The sequence below is a fragment of the Homo sapiens genome, chromosome 1 (genome assembly GCF_000001405.40).
Source record: "Homo sapiens chromosome 1, GRCh38.p14 Primary Assembly".
In the NCBI taxonomy this organism is placed as follows: Eukaryota; Metazoa; Chordata; class Mammalia; order Primates; family Hominidae; genus Homo; species Homo sapiens.
This window is the reverse complement of record NC_000001.11, coordinates 73589088-73608591: the sequence shown is the minus strand read 5'-3', so window position 1 is coordinate 73608591 and position 19504 is coordinate 73589088. Positions and strand designations below refer to the sequence as shown.

At 37.6% G+C, this 19504-nt stretch overlaps 1 long non-coding RNA gene across 1 annotated transcript; it reads left to right on the top strand.

Moving 5' to 3' along the window:
• The first annotated feature begins 1314 nt into the window (after positions 1–1314).
• LOC105378802 (uncharacterized) lies at positions 1315–13535 on the top strand. The gene is made up of 3 exons (XR_001737793.1): positions 1315–1501; positions 5771–5921; positions 13463–13535. It is a non-coding gene; the product is annotated as an uncharacterized LOC105378802 (long non-coding RNA).
• The last annotated feature ends 5969 nt before the right edge of the window (positions 13536–19504 follow it).

Genomic DNA, 19504 nt, shown 5'->3' with positions numbered 1-19504 from the left:
TTATATCAATTAGCCTACGGTAAAATTGGTTTCATTTTGCAGTACAGTTGCAGTTTCCAAGAACCTATAGGCAACATTGAGGACTTACTGTAAAAATATCTATCCAAATGTTGTTATACAGAAATAAGTAAGGTCATGGTTCAAATTGTGCATGCAAAATGACTTAGCATCTTCAATAGCACCTGAAAAGATCCTGAACCTGTGTTTAGAAGAACCTGGCATCAAATCTTTGATGAACCTGGCAACAAATCTTTGGCTTTACTTCTTACAACCTACATTACTTTAGAGAGGTTATTAAACTCCTCTGAGCTTGTTTGAAATAGTCAGTATTACCAATGATGAAGGAAACACCCCGTTGTATTTTAGGCATAGAGTACATTGTAGCTACTATGGTGAGTGAGTGCCTGTGTTTCTTTACTTTTCATTTTGGCCATCTTTCATGGCAGTATTTTTGCCTGTTTGTTCTCCCTGTTTTCTCAGGATGAGATAACCTCATCCTAAGGTTATCAGGAGAGTATTTCAGATTCTCATCTCAAAGGTGACATTTGTGTTAGAGGTGTAACACATTTGTCATTCAAACTTCTGCACTTTGTTGAATGCCGAGGTTTTTTTTTTTTCTTTTATTAAAGTCGAAGGTGTTGAACATGCTTAGGAATGAAATTGGAAGGCCTACTGAGGAATGCTAATTTAGTGTATCACGGAACTGAGTACCTTAAACTATAATTCCTGACCAAAACAAACAAACAAACAAACAAAATCAAGCAAAAACACACCACAGTGTACATATTGCTGAGCTATATCCCTGGTTATCATATATACTGCATATCACAATATTAATATAAATACATGAGCTGATTAATTTGTTTGCATAGTCTTTACATCTAGAATATGCTAAAGGAACAAAATACTATCATAAACTGCCTGCTTAATCGATTGATAGATGAATATTTTGGTGGGTGGTTGAAAATATGTTCCCTACATTTATCGTATCTTCTTTTAGACCCAAAGTTACTACCAGGATCATGGCAGGACTCATGTCTCCATGAGAGTGTGATATAGTTATGCTTTGTATCCACCCAAAGCTCATCTTAAATTGTAATCCCCCTAATCCCCACAAGTCAAAGGAGAGACCAGGTGGAGGTAATTGAATCATGTGGGCAGTTTTCCCCATGCTATTCTCGTTATAGTGAGTGAGGTCTCACGAGATCTGAAGGTTTTTTTTCTTTTTTAGACGGAGTCTCCCTCTGTCGACCAGGCTGGAGTGCAGTGACGCGATCTCGGCTCACTGCAAGCTTCGCCTCCCTGGTTCACGCCATTCTGCTGCCTCAGCCTCCCGAGTAGCTGGGGCCGAGGCGGGTGGATCTGAAGGTTTTGTAAGTGGCTCTTCCCCTTTCACTCAGCATTTCTTCTTCCTGCCGCCTTGTGAAGAAGATGCCTTTCTTCCCCTTCACCTTCTGCCATGATTGTACGTTTCCTGAGGCCTCCCCAGCCATGCAGAACTGTGAGTCAATTAAATCTCTTTCCTTTATAAATTACCCAGTCTCCAGTGTATCTTATAGCAGTATGAGAACCAACTAATACAGGGTGATATCTGATTTTTTTTATTATGAACCAAGAATTTCAGAAATACCAGGTACAGGAGTCAGGGTGTTGCCTGAAAAGACCATGAAAGATACCCTTACACTCTGCCCCCAAGTTATGTCTGGCCCCAATGAGCATTCAGATATCCACGCCATGATTTTCATGGAGAGAATGATTAGACACTGCTATACTAGCTTTTCAAAATCTCAAGCCCTTCCTCTGTACAATGATTTCTAGACTAGTGAACCTTTCAAAACCCTAGAACATCAAAGAAGCAGCCCGAGTAATACAGAAATGAATGTTAAAATGAAGACAAAAGGAAAAAAAGGCAATGAGGGGCCATATAGAAGGACACAGAGATGAGTGTAAGCAACATTTGACACTGGTGACCAAAGATAAGAGCATTAAGTTTTAGGTCTTATCCTGAAAGCCAGCAAATAAATACAAATTAGCTTTAGGATGTATGTGAAGAATACTGCAAAGAAGAAGGAATATTAGAAAATATAATTAAAATTTGGAACAATCTGACTTCCCCACTTCACAGAACAAGTTGCAGAGTACCATGTCACAGTTTTGTTTAAGGTTACAGGCCTATTTTACTGGGAAGGATTTAACTACAATTGTTATTTTACTACCTATGCTCTTAGTGAAGTAGGGGAAGGGAAATAAATGGACAAGATATTCACAGAATGGTCACCATGGTCTGACTATTCAAGATACACTTCAATAGGCTTTGTCACTTCTGAAATGTATAAAGCTTTCCTTTTGACCATAGTCAGTTTCTAGTAATCCTGTTGACAGCAATCTTCTTTGAAACAATTCACTCAGCCTCAAAGCTAGGAAGTTAGTTTATCTTTAAGCAAAGTTTATTGAGATGACTTGTAATTTGGTGCTCTATTTCGCTAACTGCTTTGAAACCAAAGACATAGACGGTGGTTTCAGATTACTTTTTTAAGGACTCCCACCAAAATTTCTAGTTTATTTCTTGATTCCCTTATTCCTTCTAGTATATGGCCATCATACATAAATAAACTAGAAAAACAATAGTCTTGTTAGGAAGAATCATTTGATCTTATTTTGTGGGAAGATTATTTACCTGACTCTTTTTTTTTAATTGCTTGATATTTATTTCCATTAAAGAGAAGCACAGCTTTGCTGTAACCACAACTTATTAAACATTCAGTGTAAATGTACCAGGCATGGGTTTTAACATTACCTTTCAACATTCAGGAAAGGAAACATATTAGGCTCCCACATACTTGTTTAGAAATCATCATATTGTCCTAATTTTAAATTATCTTTAACGTTATTCATTTTCTGGAAAGACTGCTGATATTATATCACTTTTGTATTGTGGTCTACATCTTAAAATTTTTCTTCATATATTTTGCCTGATTTCAGTCTTATAATGGCCTGCTGAAGTAAACAGGACAGTCATTATCATCCACATTATAGATAAAGAGGCCAAATTTAAGGGTTAGCTGAGTTTTCCAAAAGTCACATAACCAATGAGGGAGATGGAATATTCAAACTTAGGCCTTTGATTTTATGTTTTACTCTTCTTAAACACACTATTCTAAAAAAACAAAGGAGATGAGACAGATGCTTGTTTTTTTTGTTGTTATTGATGGTTTTTTAAAAACATATTCTGATAGTTTATTTTTAACCCGTAGTCACCATCTTGGTAGGTATCATTTCTGGTTACTGCGTAAAGTATCCTTATTGCAGCATGTCCTTTGATTTTATGTTTATTTTTCTCCAGAAGGAGAGATTATTCATAAAATGTGGTTAATGCTCACTTGTAGCTGAAAGGCAAAGGTTATAAATCGAATAACAATAGGGTGCAAAATCATGTCACATTGAGAATAATAAGGGATGAGCTTAATTATTGCAGAATTACCCACTTCAGCAATAAATTGGAAAGATTATAGCAAGAACCAATTTCCTGCTCTCATGAATAAATTGCTTCTTTGAATACCTTTTTCGGTGCCTAGAAAGGAGAATGGAATCATGCAGTTAGTTTCCTGGTGTGTAACCTTGAATAGTTTATGATAGCTGTTTTCACCATGATCATGGAAGTAAAAATTTGTTTCCACAGTGAAGTATTGTTCCCTTAAGGAGGAAGATGAGTCATACTCTTATGATGAACAAAGGATTTAAAGATGAAACTGCCTGCACTTAACGAAATAGTTAACAACAGTATGAAGGGCAATTGAAACAACTTTGCAATGTAAAATCAGCCTCAAGCTATTTAACAACAGTGGAGTAGAGATGCAGATGGTTTATATGCTATATTTATTAATGATTTTGCAGACGAAATAGGTATTAAGTTGGCAAAGTTTGTCTATTATGCTAAGTTGTCTCTGAGAGTGAATACTTCAGAGAATTGTGAGAAATTCCAGATGCAGTATTAGATGTTATGCTTTTGGGAAGTATTACTTAGATTAACCTGAAATAGTGTGTGTTGTTAAAAAATATAGCCTCAGTTATGTATTTAAACATTTCTAATCTTATGACAGTTCAATCAGTCCTTCTGGGGGCTAGAGTGAAATACGTGTTTACAGTGTGACAATAATGGAAAACAAAAGTACTTTTGGGGAATTTCATAATCCAGATGACAGCTGTCATGATCCTACAATCTCATTTCACAATAGGAGTGTCCTTCTTTGAGTGTAATTATTTCAACAAAGGAAAACCAGAGTAGTTGTTTCAAGTGAAGAGGAATAAATGATGCTAAAAGGTGGCAAGTCAAGTATAAACCATTTATAAATATATTTATTTGGTGTAAATAAGCATGCTTGAGATACTATGTTCAAAGCTATGAAAAATAATGTGAGAAATCAAATTTATCTTTTTACCCTATTGTCCTTAATGTTTGATCAAAGAAATATTTAATTAAAGCTAAAATTAAATTGTTCAATCTTAATAAAATATTATAGATTCTATACCACAGAGTAAAAATTTGGGATTTAAGATTTCTCATCCCAGAATGAAAAGCCACATTTTATTTTTAAAGGACATTTGTTTAGATGACCACTCCTATATGAAAATTTCAGTTAAATGTTATTTTAACAAAGATCTTTCTCATACACACAGAATTACAATTAGTACATAACTTTACTATATTTTCATTTGCCAGTACTCTCTTGATGTTAGAAAGTTTTGTCTGATAGATTACTAGTTTTTTTTTTGAGACAGAGTCTTGCTCTGTCACCCAGGCTGGAGTGCATTCGTGCGATCTCCGCTCACTGCAACGTCCACCTCCTGGGTTCAAGTAATTCTCCTGCCTCAGCCTCCTGAGTAGTTGGGACTACAGGCATGTGCCACCACGCTTGGCTAATTTTTGTATTTTTAGTAGAGACGGGGTTTCACCATGTTGGCCAGGCTGGTCTCGAACTCCTGACCTCAGGTAACCTGCCCGCCTTGACCTCCCAAAGTGCTTGGATTACAGGCGTGGGCCACCACCCCAGCCTGATAGATTACTATTTAACTGTGTATAAAGACTCAGGTTATGATAAATCATATAAGCATTATTGGGAATATAGTATGTTTTAGACTCTGTGCCTAGTTCTGGGAATACAAGACCAGCTCCTTGCCCTGTTAGAAATCTTTAGACACAAGATACTGAATCATATTTCAATGCAATACAATAAGGGTTCCAAAAGACATAGATAGTTTTAGGATGCTTTGGAAATACAGAGAAGGCGGCACTTAAGGTAAAGATAAGTTAAAAGAAAATTTTTGGAGAGGATAACAGTGAAGTTAAAAGTTGAAAGATGAGTAAGATATTTGAAGTTAAAGTGGATAAATCTATTCTATGTGAACCTCGTGAAGTGAAAAATATGTGACACGTATTATATAACTAAATCAGATTTCAGAGTACACAGTTTAGAGTATAAAATGTGCTTCTGTGTGTTCACGTTTGTATATTTGTAAATTTGTGAAAGTGTTGTGGGGGGAGTGTGGACAAGGGTGTGGTAGAGGTAGGCTTCTAGATATAGTCTTATCATTTACAGAGGGAAAAAATAGTTTAGGCCCTTTATGATAAATTTACTCTCTTCTTAACACACTGTATATATTTGAATCCAGAGAGACTTAATAGGCTTGCTCTATCTGATCTTGACTGCTGTGAAAGGTTCTCAGACCTGAAATGTGGAAAATATCAAAAAGCCTCCTTGGCTCATTTCAGGATGAAGGTCACATCCATATTAATTGCCCTGATAATGAAACCTTCCTGGAGGCCACCTGTCAGAACATCTGGAGCTCTTGTTGTTACTGCTTCCAACAAGGCCCATTTCCATCCCTACGCTGACTTCAAAGACCCATCTTCAAGGTTGATGGTAAGGACTTGGGAAGGGATGCAGCATAGATTTACTGGCCCAGGTTCAGCTCTATTTTAGAATACTAAAATTTCCTTTTGTCAGTTTCAAAACCTAGCAAAAGAGGGATCATTTAAATTTGATATTTTCCAAAATGAATTTTGGACAGATAATTATTGGAAAAAGAATGCAGTTTGATTTTCCAGGTTTCCCTCAGGTTTTGGGTTGAATATGAATCAAAGTTACCTGTTTTCAATATCAATGAAATAAAAAAAAAATCATTTAAGGGGCACCACTGTGTATGTGATGATTAATTTTAGTCATCAACTCAACTGGATTAAGGGATATCCAGATAGCTGGCAAAGCCTTATTTCAGGGTATATTTATGAGGGTCGATATGGTTTGGCTTTGTGTCCCCACCTAAATATGACCTCAAATTGTAATAATCTCCACATGTCATGGGAGGGACCTGGTTGGAGGTAATTAAATTATGGGGACAGGTTTTTCCTGTGCTGTTCTTGTGATAGTAAATAATTCTCATGAGATTTGATGGTTTTATAAAGGGGAGTTCCCATGCACATGCTCTCTTGCTTGCACCATGCAAGACATGACTTCGTTTTTCCTTCGTCTTCTGCCATGATTGTGAGCCCCCCCCAATCATGTGAAACTGTGAGTCTATTAAACCTCTTTCCTTTATAAATTACCCAGTCTTGGGTATGTCTTTATCAGCAGTGTGAAAACGAACTAAGACAGTAAATTTGTAACCAGTTGTGGGCTGTTGCTATAAAGATACTCAAAAGATCCAAGTGACTTTGGAACTGAGTAACAGGCAGAGATTGAAACAGTTTGGAGGGCTCAGAAGAAGACAGGAAGATATAGGAAAGTCTGGAAGTTCCTAGAGATTTGGAGGACTACGAAGACAGGAAGATGTGGGAAAGTTTGGAACTTCCTAGACACTTGTTGAATGGTTTCCACCAAAATTCTAATACTAGTGATATGGACAATAAAGTGCAGGCTGAGGTGGTCTCAGATGGAGATGAGGAACTTGTTGGGAACTACAGCAAAGGTGACTCTTGTTATACTTTAGCAAAGAGACTGGCAGCATTTTGCCCCTGCCCCAGAGATCTGTGGAACTTTGAACTTGAGAGAGATGATTTAGGGCATCTGGTGGAAGAAATTTCTAAGCAGCAAAGCATTCAATATGTGACTTGGGTGCTGTTAAAAACATTCGGTTTTATGTATTCACAAAAAGATATGCTTTAGAATTGGAATTTATTTTTAAAAGGGAAGCAGAGCATAAAAGTTTGGAAAATTTGCAGCCTGACAATGTGAGAGAAAAGAAAACCCCATTTTATGAGGAGAAATTCAAGCCAGCGGAAATTTACATAACTAACGAGTTAATATTTATTGCCAAGACAATGGGGAAAATGTCCCCAGTGCATGTCAGAGACCTTCCTGGCAGCCTCTTCCACCATAGGCTCAGAGGTCCGGGAGATAAAAATGGTTTCCTGGGTTGGATCCGGCGGCCCCTGCTGTGTGTAGCCTCAGGACTTGGTGCCTGGTGTCCCAGTTGCTCCAGCTGTAGCTGAAAGTGGCCAAAGTACAGCTCAGACCATGGTTTCAGAGGGTGCAAGTCCTAAGCCTTGGCAGCTTCTGCCTGTTGCTCAGCCTACGGGTGCACAGAAGTCAATAATTGAGGTTGGGAACCTCTGCCAAGATTTCAGAGGATGTATAGAATAGCCTGGATGTCCAGGCAGAAGTCTGCTGCAGGGGTATGGAGAACCTCTGCTAGGGCAGAGCAGAAAGGAAATGTGGGGTCAGAGCCCCAACACAGAGCTCCCACTGGGGCACTGCCTGTTGGAGCTGTGAGAAGAGGGCCATTGTCCTCCAGATGCCAGAATGGTAGATATACTGACAGTTTGCACGGTGCATCTGGGAAAGCCACTGGCACTCAGTGTCAGCCCATGAAAGCAGCTGGGAAGGGGGGTGTATGCTGCAAAGCCTCCAGGGTGTCACTGCCCAAGGCCATGGGAGCCTACCTCTTGTATCAGCATGACCTGGATGTGAGACATGGAGTCAAAGGAGATCATTTCAGAGCTTTAAGACTAGGCTGCTCCATTGAATTTCAGACTTGCATAGGGCCCGTAACCCCTTTGTTTTGGCCAATTTATCTCATTTGGAACAGGTGTATTTACCCAATGCCTGCGCCCCCATTGTGTCTAGGAAGTAACTAACTTGCTTTTGATTTTATAGGCTCATAGGTAGAAGGGATTTTCCTTGTCTCAGATGAGACTTTGGAGTTGTACTTTTGGGTTAATGATGAAATGAGCTAAGACTTTGGGGTACTGTTGGAAGGTATGAATGATCTTTATATGTGAGGATATGAGATTTGGGAGGGGCCAGCAGCAGAATGATATGGCTTGGTTCTGTGTCCCAAAACAAATCTCACCTTGAATTTTAATAGTTCCCACACATCATGGGAGGGACCTGTTGGGAGGTAATTGAATTATAGGGATGAATTTTTCCCATGTTGATTTCATGATACTGAATAAATCTCATGAGATCTGATGGTTTTATAAAGGGTAGTTCCCCTGCACATGCTCTCTTGACTGCCACCATGTAAGATGTGCCTTTGCTCTACCTTAGCCATTCACCACCATTGTGAGGCCTCCCAAGCCATGTGGAACTGTGAGTCCATTAAAACTCTTTCCTTTATAAATTACCCAGTCTTGAGTATGTCTTCATTAGCAGCATGAAAATAAACTAATGCAAGGTTGTTTCTGGAAAAGATTGGCATTTGATTCAGCGGTATGAGTAAGAAAAAACTGCCCTAACCCAATGTGGAAGGGCACCATCCAATTCTTGAGGACCCAGGTAGAACCAAAGACAGAAGAAAGATAAATTCACTTTCTCTTTCTTCTAAAGCTAGGACATCCATCTTCTTCTGTCCTTGAACACCAGGACTCCAGATTTTCTGGCCTTCAGCTTCAGACTCAGAGTTACACTCTCAGCTTCTCTGGTTCCCAGGCTTTCAGATTTGAACTGAGCTATGCCTCCACCTTCCCTAGTTCTCAAGCTTGTGGATGGCATGTGGTGAGACTTCTCAGTTCCGTAATCATGTAGGCCAATTTCCATAATATATTTCCCCTCATCTGTCTATCTATTTACATATATTCTATTGACTCTGTTTCTCAGGAACACCCTAACTAATACAGGATATCTGGGTTCAGTTTGGATATTGTAACCACAATCTTTCATTAAATCACAGGGAACAAAATAAATAATACATTTGAGCGGGTCGTTGGAGAATACAGCACCCCACACAGAACTCAAACTCAGACTCAGCAAGAAGAAGTATTTAATAAAGTCAGTAAAAGACCTGAATCTCTCAGGATGAGGTCACATCTCACTGAGCTGAGTTTGTAGGGGACAACAGCTTAAGGTACTAACAGAGAAGCTGTTCTTTCTTTTTCTCCTTCAAGGCCACTGGTGGTATGTCTTTTTCATTGGAAATAACCCAAGGGGTTTAATTCACTCCCTACATGGCTAAAATTGTTGTAATTTTTAATTATTGTGAAAATTACCTCTTTCAAACTCATTGTTAAAGCATGTGATGTGAGGAAGAAATAGTATTTGATGAAATAAGTTTAGGAAACAAGGGATATTCAGTTAAGGAGGGTTTTTTTTTTGTTTGTTTTGTTTTGCTCCATGGATTCTCATAGTTTATGATGTGTTAATATTAAATGCAAACCTAAAAAAAGATGTAGTTTAAAGGTTCCTGATTTTATTTTCCCACCTTGTTCACTTTTCTTTCTTTCCTTTTTTCTTCTTAATCTGTCAAAGTATTTAATAGAACACACTTTGAGAAATGCTGACTTAGGCTTTGATATTCAAACAGATTCTTCTCATATGGCTTTCAGTACTACTAGCATTCTGCTGGAGAGAGTCACATCTATACTGTACGTCTATCACTGCCCAAAACCAGTCTTGACCCCTCAAAGTCTAACTCTATCTTGGCTCAAATTTTATCATTTTTATAACCTTAAATCAACACTCTGCTTGTGGTCTGCCCTCATCCAATATAGATGGGCATCATCCAGGCCTTCTACTTATATTATGTTGAGTGAGGAAGAGACAATAAGTGAATAGAAAGTAACAGCATCTTAAATGGTGATCAGTGTTACAGAGAGAAATAAAGAGGATAAGAGGTTAAAAAATAAGCAGTGAGTTAGCTGACGCTACTTTTTAACTTGCACCAGTGGAGGTTGGTGCAAAAATAATTGCAGTTTTGGACCGTGAAGTTTAAATCATTATAACTAGGCTCAAATAGATCTTTATTAATCAAAATAGGAATCATTATAATGAACACATTTTTTGCCAATAAGAAATAAGTTTGTTTATTCCTATAGCATAAAAATCTGTGTTTCGGGATTTAACAAACTCTTTTAAAGCATTTTCTGCATCCTACTGATTGTGGGATCATTTTCCCTGCAAAAGTTGTCAAGATGGTTGAAGTGGTAGTTGGTTGGTGAGAAGTCAGGTGAATATGGCGGATAGGGCAAAATTTGTAGCCCAATTTGTTCAACTTTTGAAGTGTTGGTTGTGCAACATATAGTCGGGTATTGCCATGGAGAAGTATTGGGCCCTTTCTGTTGACCAATGTGGCTGCAGGCTTTGAAGTTTTTGGTGCATCTCATTGATTTGCTGAGCATACTTCTCAGAAGTAATGGTTTCACTGTGATTCAGAAAATGGTAGTTGATCAGAGTGGTAGTAGACCAAGCAATGACTATGACCTTTTTTTTTGGTGGAAGTTTGGCTTTGGGAAGTGCTTTCAAGCTTCTCAGTCCAACCACGGAGCTGGTCATTGGCGGTTTTCATATAAAATTCACTTTTCCTTGCATGTTCACAATCTGATCAGGGAACAGTTCCTTCTTGTTGTGTAGAATAAGTGACTTTTTAAAATTTTCAGTCATCTTATGAGGCCCCACTTATTGAGATTTTTCATCTTTACAATTTGCTTCAAATGCTGAATGACCATAGAGTCATTCAGCATTTGAATGTAGAGTCTACATTGAGTTCTTCGGCAACTTCTATAGTGAGAGGATCAGTGTCAATGATTGCTCTCAATTGGTTGTTGCCAACTTCCGATGGCCAGCCACTGTGCTCCTCATCTTCAAGGATCTCCTCTCCTTTGCAAAACTTCTTGAACCACCACTGCACTGTACGTTTGTTAGCAGTTCCCGGGCCAAATGCATTGTTGTTGTTGCGAGTTGTCTCCACTGCTTTATGACCAGTTTTAAATAAGAAAATTGTTCAAATTTGCTTTTTGTCTAACATCATTTCCTTATTCTAAAATAAACATAAACAGCAAGTAATAATCATTAACAAAAAACATAAAGTGAGAAATCCCCTTAAAATGATGTGTAACACAGCCACGTTTGTCTAAGAAAGCATTCCACTATCAAATGGCAAATTTCAACATTGCAAAAACCACAATTACTTTTGCACTCACCATGTAAGGTGAGGAAGCAGAAATAGCTTCTCCAATCAGGTGATATTTGGACAGAGATTTGCAGAGGTGCATGAGTGAGTTGATGACAACAAATGGCAGAAGATTAGATGGGCCTCATCATAACTTTGGCTGTAACGTTAGTTTTATCCAAGGACACCATTAGGCTCTATTTGAGAATCTCTGGCAGCACAGGTACACAGTTAGTCTCATAATTCAACTTTACTTATATGGGAAGATGTACATACATTCTTCCCCTTTTAAAAATAATCTAAAGATTTGGTGGTGCAAACTTGGAGTCCCAGCTACTCAGTAGGCTGAGGTGGGAAGATCACTTGAGCACATGAGTTCAAGGCTGTACTGAGATGTGATTGTCCCACTGTACTCCAGCCTGGGCAAGAGAGAAAGACACCATCTCTTAAATAAATCTAAGCCATTAACCAAAGGCTAGTTGCCACCATTCTGATTTTTTTTCAAGGGAGTTCCAAATCTACCTTGAGCTATTCATAAAAAGAAAAATTTATAAGCTTTAATTTTACTTTTCTAAGCACTCATATACCTGAGTAAACTTACATTCCAGTTGTATGATTTCTATTACCTGTAAATATTTCTGCTCTGAATCGGAATAATCTATTTTGCTGAAATGAAATATGCATTCTTAAATAAAATTTAATCTCCCTTTATTTTTCTTCTGAAGAGAACCAGAGTCTACATATCTGTTATGACTAATTTATCTTATTTTGAAACTTCTCATATTTTAAAGTAATAATAATAATAGTAGTAATAGTAGCAATAGCTAAGTTTACTTTTCAGGTCCCATTACAATTTTATATACAAATTTTATCAAATTAACATCTGCAATAAACTCACAAGTATTTTTTGAGCAATTACTATGTTCTGTTGGCTGTCTGAGATGCTGAGGATACAGAGAAAGTTGATCTGGAACACTATTTTCATGGCGTTTTATCTCCTGTAGAAGACAGACAATAACCAAAACACTTGAGGAGGCATTGATTTATCTCTTCCATGGGTGAAAAGACAGGCAAAATGGAACTTGGGTTTGCCTTACTCTAAAGCCCATCATTTCCATAGCTATGCTATTTCTGTATCATTAAAAGGGAAATAGGAAATGTCATCAATAAGCTGAGAGTTCAGTAAAGTATTGGTTCAGATTTTGCAGCCAAAGGCTTGATACCAACTTCTAGAATAACTATTTCTCATGTTGTAAAATCAGTGTTTCTCCAACTTAATCTTGGAAGAAAATCACTTGGGGTGCTGGTTTGAAATAAAGGGTTATCAGACCCATCTTCAGACAGTAGGTCTGTGGTAACCTGCCTTTGTCACAAGTTTTCAGGTGATTCTGATGCAGATAGCTTCTGGGTCAAACTTTGTGAAATTCATTTCATAGTAGTAAGGTCTGGCAAATGCTAGTACAGACAGTAATTAAGCTAATGAGTTCATCAGATAAGACAGACATGAATAAGGCCACAGAAGTACAGGATCAAAAAGATCTAATGAGTTAGAGACATTGAAAAGGTAAGGGTGTAACCTTGGCCTTCCCTCCATCCACCCTCCAATTCAGTGCTGTTAGATTCGTGTCTCTTGGTCCATGTCTGATGCCCCATGATAAGGCCCAGACCCTATGAGCGCCAGTGGATTTTCTCACTCTAAGGAAGCCACCATTTTCTCCTCCTCAGAGATACGGTTATCAGAAGCCTTGAACAAGTTTCTCCTTAGAACTAGAAAAGAGTTTTAATGATAATGACTAAAGATTAATTTTAAATCAAGTATGAAGTATCCTCCTATTTTGGTTATTCAATTCTATTTATCATCTAAGGGTTGATATTTTAAAACATAGCAAGCTTTGAAGAAGGTGGCATGCACAAAAGTTAACAGAAACTTTCAAGATTTTAAGAAAAAGTATAAATATAATATTTTGAATTCAACAGAGAAGTCATCCATAAAACTAAATGTATTATTTAGTATATTAGATTGAGCACAAATACTTTTCCTTTTTGCTTATATATTGTTCTTTGTTTACTTCATTTTAAGTGGAAAGAATCAGAAGAAAGTAGCATTGAAAAGAACTTGAAATTCTTGTGCACTTTTAAAGTCCCTCTCACAGGTAAATAGTAACTTATTTATAACTTCAAGGTTTTATGATATCAGGCCATAGCAAATTCTTTGTATAAAAATTGAAATGAGACTTAATTACCCTGTTTTTAGGAAGTGAGTAGATTTTTAAATTTAAGTAGTTTATTGTATTGGTGATTTGTGCTTGTGTAGTTTGAGGGAAAGGATAAGCACATCATTTTTTCCTGTCTCTTGAGAGGGACAGGTTTCTAAAACCTGATTTATTTCAAAGATCCTTTGTCATGCTTCTATTGCAGCAAACTATTGAGAACTTCTTTTTAAGACATTAGAGAAAAGTGTTTAAGATGAATCTACTGACAGTCCAAATGCTCACCGAGGTCACCTTTTTCATAATCGATGTTTGAAGAGTCTGATCTATCAACAATTTAATCTAAGTAAATGAATCCTGCTAGTGAATTAATGTGATTTTAACTGGGATTCACTCATTTTCAATAATGTTGCTGCTTTTGTTGTCTAATAATTTAATGTCTCAAATTATGAGAGTTTCAAACTTTGGCAGGCCAGCAGGTGTTTGGGGGGGACATCTCATTTCATTTATGTCAAAGTTTGAAAATGAATCTAAATATGCCAGCCTGGTTATTTCCTGTGGGCTTAACAGAATCTTAAGCAGTATGTTTTCTGCAATTTAAAGGGTAAGAATAATTGTTAATCATTCTTGCTTCTCCTGTTCTTTAAAAAAAATCAAATACTGTTCATACTCCCTGATGATTAAATGTTTAATATCTTTCTCTCTTCCTCTATCTCCCAATTATGACCTCCTTGGAGATTTTGTCACTGTGCTTAACTTATAGATCCATAATAAATGTTTGATGAATAAATGAGTCAATGCATGTGTAAATTAATAGAAAGTTTAGTTTGAAATTATAAAGAATGTATTTCTCCGTGGAAAGAAGGAAGCAAGGAGGGGAAACACACAGTGAAGATATCATTCTTGGGTGTAGTCGCACAATCAGAAGGCAGGGTGAAAGCATGCTTAATCACTGCCCCTGTTTTCATAACATGTTAAGTAGCAGGGTAGAAAACCCACTGCATGTGTCATCATGAGGCCAGGGTTGCAGCTGAAGGTCTTCCACTTAACCATTTGACCTCGTGCACAGCACTTTGATTACTTTAATTTTGATTCCTCATTTAAAAAATAGATCTTTGTATGAAGCCACTTCCATGGACTCAAATGATCCTGAAAGGCACAAACCATTCCGTTTGAACCTTTCAACCCTTTGTTTCCAAATAGCCAGCTGCCCTATATATCTTGTGCCCTGGAAATAGGGTAATGATTTTATTTTAAAACTTTGCAGATGTATTTCCTGAGTATCTGTCTAGAAGCCCTGCAATTCACTCAGGCTTAACGTACAAAGTGGCAGATCTCTCCCTTTAGGCAAACACATTGGCTGCTGTGTTTACAAAACCAGTGAAGGCATATTCCTCTTTCTCTTTTAAAGTTTATTCATGCCTCCATGTGCTCAAGGAGGCATGACTAAGCTGCATGGCATGAGGAAGTCTCCGGAAGTAGAAGTCTTTTAATAGCTATAGAGCCTAGTTCTAGCAAAACAGATTGATTAAAGTGGCACAGCTCTTATAATTTATTTCGTGCATACAAAGGTAAGTTTTACATATTAAAAATGGAACCTTCCCTCTATCAGGCAGCATCCAGGCACATTTTCACATTATTTAGCTGCATAAAGTATTGAACCGAGAATCCGAAGCTGTGGGTTGGGTTTACGTCCCTGACTTGTTTTTTTGACCTTGACTTCGCCCATGACTGACTATGAGGGAAATAAAGCACGACAAAAACTCTATATGCTTAATAATTATCGAGTAGGTACCACTTCCACCTTCATCTAAAAAAAAAAAAGTAAAAAAACCTCCTGCAGTTTCTGAACTCATTTTACTGCTCTAGTAGCTTTTACTCTGACTTCAGCTTCAACAGCCAAAAGGGTAATATTTTTAAAACATCAATTTTATCGTGCTTAAAACTCTGATTACTCTGACACTGCATTGCCTGTGGGAATAACTCCTAACTTCATAGCACACTTTCAAAGCCCTTTACAAATCTTGCCTCAGCCTACCTTGAAGCCGAACAAACATGGGCAGAGCAGGGTCCCTGTCTACCTACCTTATCTCTCACCCTTCTGCTCCTCTGTCAGCGACACTCAGCACTCATTACATTGGTCTATTCTCCATCCAGGAAGCGCATCAAGCACTTTTCTCTGTAGTCTTTCTGTTGATGCTGTTCCTTCAATTCAGAATGTCCTTCTCTTTTTTTTTTAAACCTCATTTTCTACAGGACTACCCAGAAAAACTCTTCCCTGTAAGTTTCTCTAATATTTCTCTTGTTATGCAGAGATACATGCTGTCTTACCCAAATATACACCACCATAAAGGTTTGTATAAAACTACATCATTACATTTACCTCAGATATAAAACTTCTCTTGTTGTTTGTTTTTAACAGACTTGAGACAACGAGAGACAATCATGGTTCCAGCAAAAATATGAATTCCATTGGTACTTTTCAGTTTGAAGTAAACATAATATTAATACTAATATCACCTTTATTGAAAGTTCACTATATACTTGACACTGTGCTAATGATTTGTTTTAGTATGTTTTTTTTTTTTTTTTCTTTGAGACTGAGTTTTGCTCTTGTTAACAGGCTGGAGTGCAATGGCACGGTCTTGGCTCACTGCAACCTCTGCCTCCCAGGTTCCAGTGATTCTCCTGCCTCAGTCTCCCATGTAGCTGGGATTACAGGCACCCAACACCATGCCCGGCTAATTTTTGTATTTTTAGTAGAGATGAGGTTTCGCCATGTTGGCCAGGTTGGTCTCGAACTCCTGACCTCAGGTGATCCACCCCCCTGAACCTCCCAAAGTGCTGGGATTACAGGTGTGAGCCACCGTGCCTGGCCTCTTTTAGTGCTATTTAAATCTATCTATTTTTCTTATCTAAACGTAAGTATTGTCTCAATTTGCAAATGAGGACAATGAAGCTAATAGAAGACAAATTGCTTGAATAAGGTCTCAGAATTAATACATAGCATATCCTGGATTTGAATTCAAGGTTTTTTGGTTTTAATGTATACAACTAAAAGTCCTTCTAGGTCCTCCCTCTTTATCTTAGTCTGTTTATGCTGCTATAACCGAATTCCTAAGACTGAGCAATTTATAAAGAACAGAAATTTATTTCTCACAGCTCTGTACCTGAGAAGTCCAAGACCAAGGAACCAGCAGGTTTGGTGTCTGGTAAGGGCCTGGTCTCTGCTTCCAAGTTGGTGCCTTAGAGGGTAAATTCCCTGGAGGGTAGAAACACTGTTCTTCACATGGCAGAAAAGCAAAAGAGAGTGCGCCCACTCCCACAAGCTCTTTTAGTACTGGTATCACATTTTTCATGATGGTGAAGCCCTTATGATCTAAACACCCTGCATTAAGCCGTGTTTTCCATTACTGTTGCATTGGGGATTAAGTTTCAGCATGAGTTTTGGAGAGAACAAAAACATCCAAGACAAAGCACTCTCTATTCTTCACTCTCTGTATCTAATCTATTGGCAAGTCTTTTTGACATTACCTTTCTAATAGAGTACCAAATACATGTAGTTTTTTCCCTTTCCCCATTTTTGTTCTACCTACCATCATTGTTTTGTTTTCACTATTGTATAATCTCCTCACTGATAGAGCTTTGGATCTTTTCTTCTTACCTGCATACGTAATTTTTTACTCATTCATAGAATCTTTTTAAAAAATACACATGTTCCCATGTCATCCCCTGCTTAAAGCCTTTCAGTAATTTCCTGTTGAGTTTGGCATAAAATTCAAGCCTTGCTATGGCTTGTATAATCTGGCTTCAGCCTTCCTCTCAGGACCTCATGTCATAGGTAAACCCTGAAAGAGTCAGTCCTTGAGGCTAAATTCAGAATAGAAGCAATGGTCATGTACTCACTAAAGGTCACACATAAACCATGTGTTCCCAGAAAACCCACGTGCTCACATAACTTTGGGACTTTCATAGCTGTGTCCTATTTATGCCACCTGAAACAATGGCTGGAAAATATCATTTAGCCTCCTGGACTAGACAATACACTGTGACCTGCTTTGACCAATCACAACCAAACAAATCTGCATTCCTCATTTTCATAGTGAAGGCTGTATCTCCCTGGTTTGCAAATTGTGTACTCAAATAAAATCTCTCCATTTTTAAAAAAGAAAATTATTTTCAGTAGATTCATTGACACATATTAGCTCACTCTTACACAGAACTCTCCAGTTGCACATGCCTTCTGCTTGCTTCTGAAATTCTCCAACACTGCTCTTAGTTAGGTCATTTGCACTTGCTGTGCCTTCTGCTTGCAAAGTTCATCATGCAGATAACTTCATAGCTAGAGTTTACTTGTTATTTAGATCTCGTAGAAGTTTCTCAGGCCTAAAATAAAGAGTCCACAGCTGTCAGAGGCATTTGAACCAGAGTGACTCCATCTTGAATGGGGGCTGGGTAAAATAAGGCTGGAACCTGCTGGACTGCATTTTCAGGAGGTTAGGCATTCTAAGTCACAGGATGAGATAGGAGGTCAGCACAAAATACAGGTCATAAAAACCTTGCTGATAAAACAGTTTGGAGTAAAGAAGCTGCCAAACCAAGATGGCAACAAAACTGACCTCTGGTCATCCTCACTGCTCATTATACGCTAATTATAATGCATTAGCATGCTAAGAAACACTCCCACCAGCACCATGACAGCTTACAAATGCCAAGGAAATGTCAGAAAGTTACCCTATATGGTCTAAAAAGGGGATCCTCCCTCAGTTCCAGGAATTGCCCACCACTTTCCTGGAAAGCTCTTGAATAAATTCACTGCTTGTTTAGCATATAATCAAGAAATAACCATAAAAATGGGCAACCAGCAGCCCTCGGGGCTGCTCTGCCTATAGAGTAGCCATTCTTTATTTTCTTAATAAACTTGCTTTCACTTTACTCTATGGATTTGCCTCTAATTATTTTTTTATATGAGATCTAAGAACCCTCTTTTTGGGTCTGGACCAGGGCCTCTTTTGAGTAACGCAGCCTCCATTACTTTCTGTCATGTTACTATTTTATTATTTTCCTGACAGTAACCACTTTTTAAAACCATCTATTATTTTTGTACTATTTCCCTTATAAAAATAAAATCTCAGGATAACAGCGACTTCGTCAGTATACTTCAACTGTAACACAAACCTAATCAGTGTGCATATTTCAAATTATTTTATGTCATTGATAAGTAGAATTATAGGAAAGTACATGATTGATTTCCATTTGTAACTCTCAAGCTGATTATCATTCCTCTGACTTGGACTTATGAAACATTTTCTTTAAGTCAGTGGCATGCTATATCGGAAAGTCTGTTGTAATTAAAATAACCTGGTCTAAAATTCTGGCTCCACTCTTTACAGGGCTCATGTCATTGGTTTCTTAGATGACTCAGTATATTCATCAGAAGATTTGGTAAAACATAGTAATAGTACTTACCAAATGACTGCCACACTGCCTGGCATTCATTATTTCATATTTTTATGTGCAAATATCACAAGAGAGATTCAAAGAAGTACCAAAGACTGGTCTTAGAAATATCTAGATAGATCACAGTGAGAAGTGTTAAGCAGAACTGCACCAATAAATACACACATGTGGTGAATGAAAGGCTCCTTTGATGTACTAAGAGTAGAAAAGATTTTCCAGGTTAGGACAGTTTGTGTAGAGTAGTAACTTTAAGAAACTTGTGAGAAAGATTGCAAAATTTTAAAAAGATACTGTTTATTCTCATGCCTAATGTATCTTCAATTTGGAATTTGCTAATGTTCTTTATCCTACAAAATAATCTACACATCTGACAAAGGTCTAATATCCAGAATTTACAAAGAACTTAAACAAATTTATAAGAAAAAAAAAACTCCATCAAAAAGTGGGCAAAA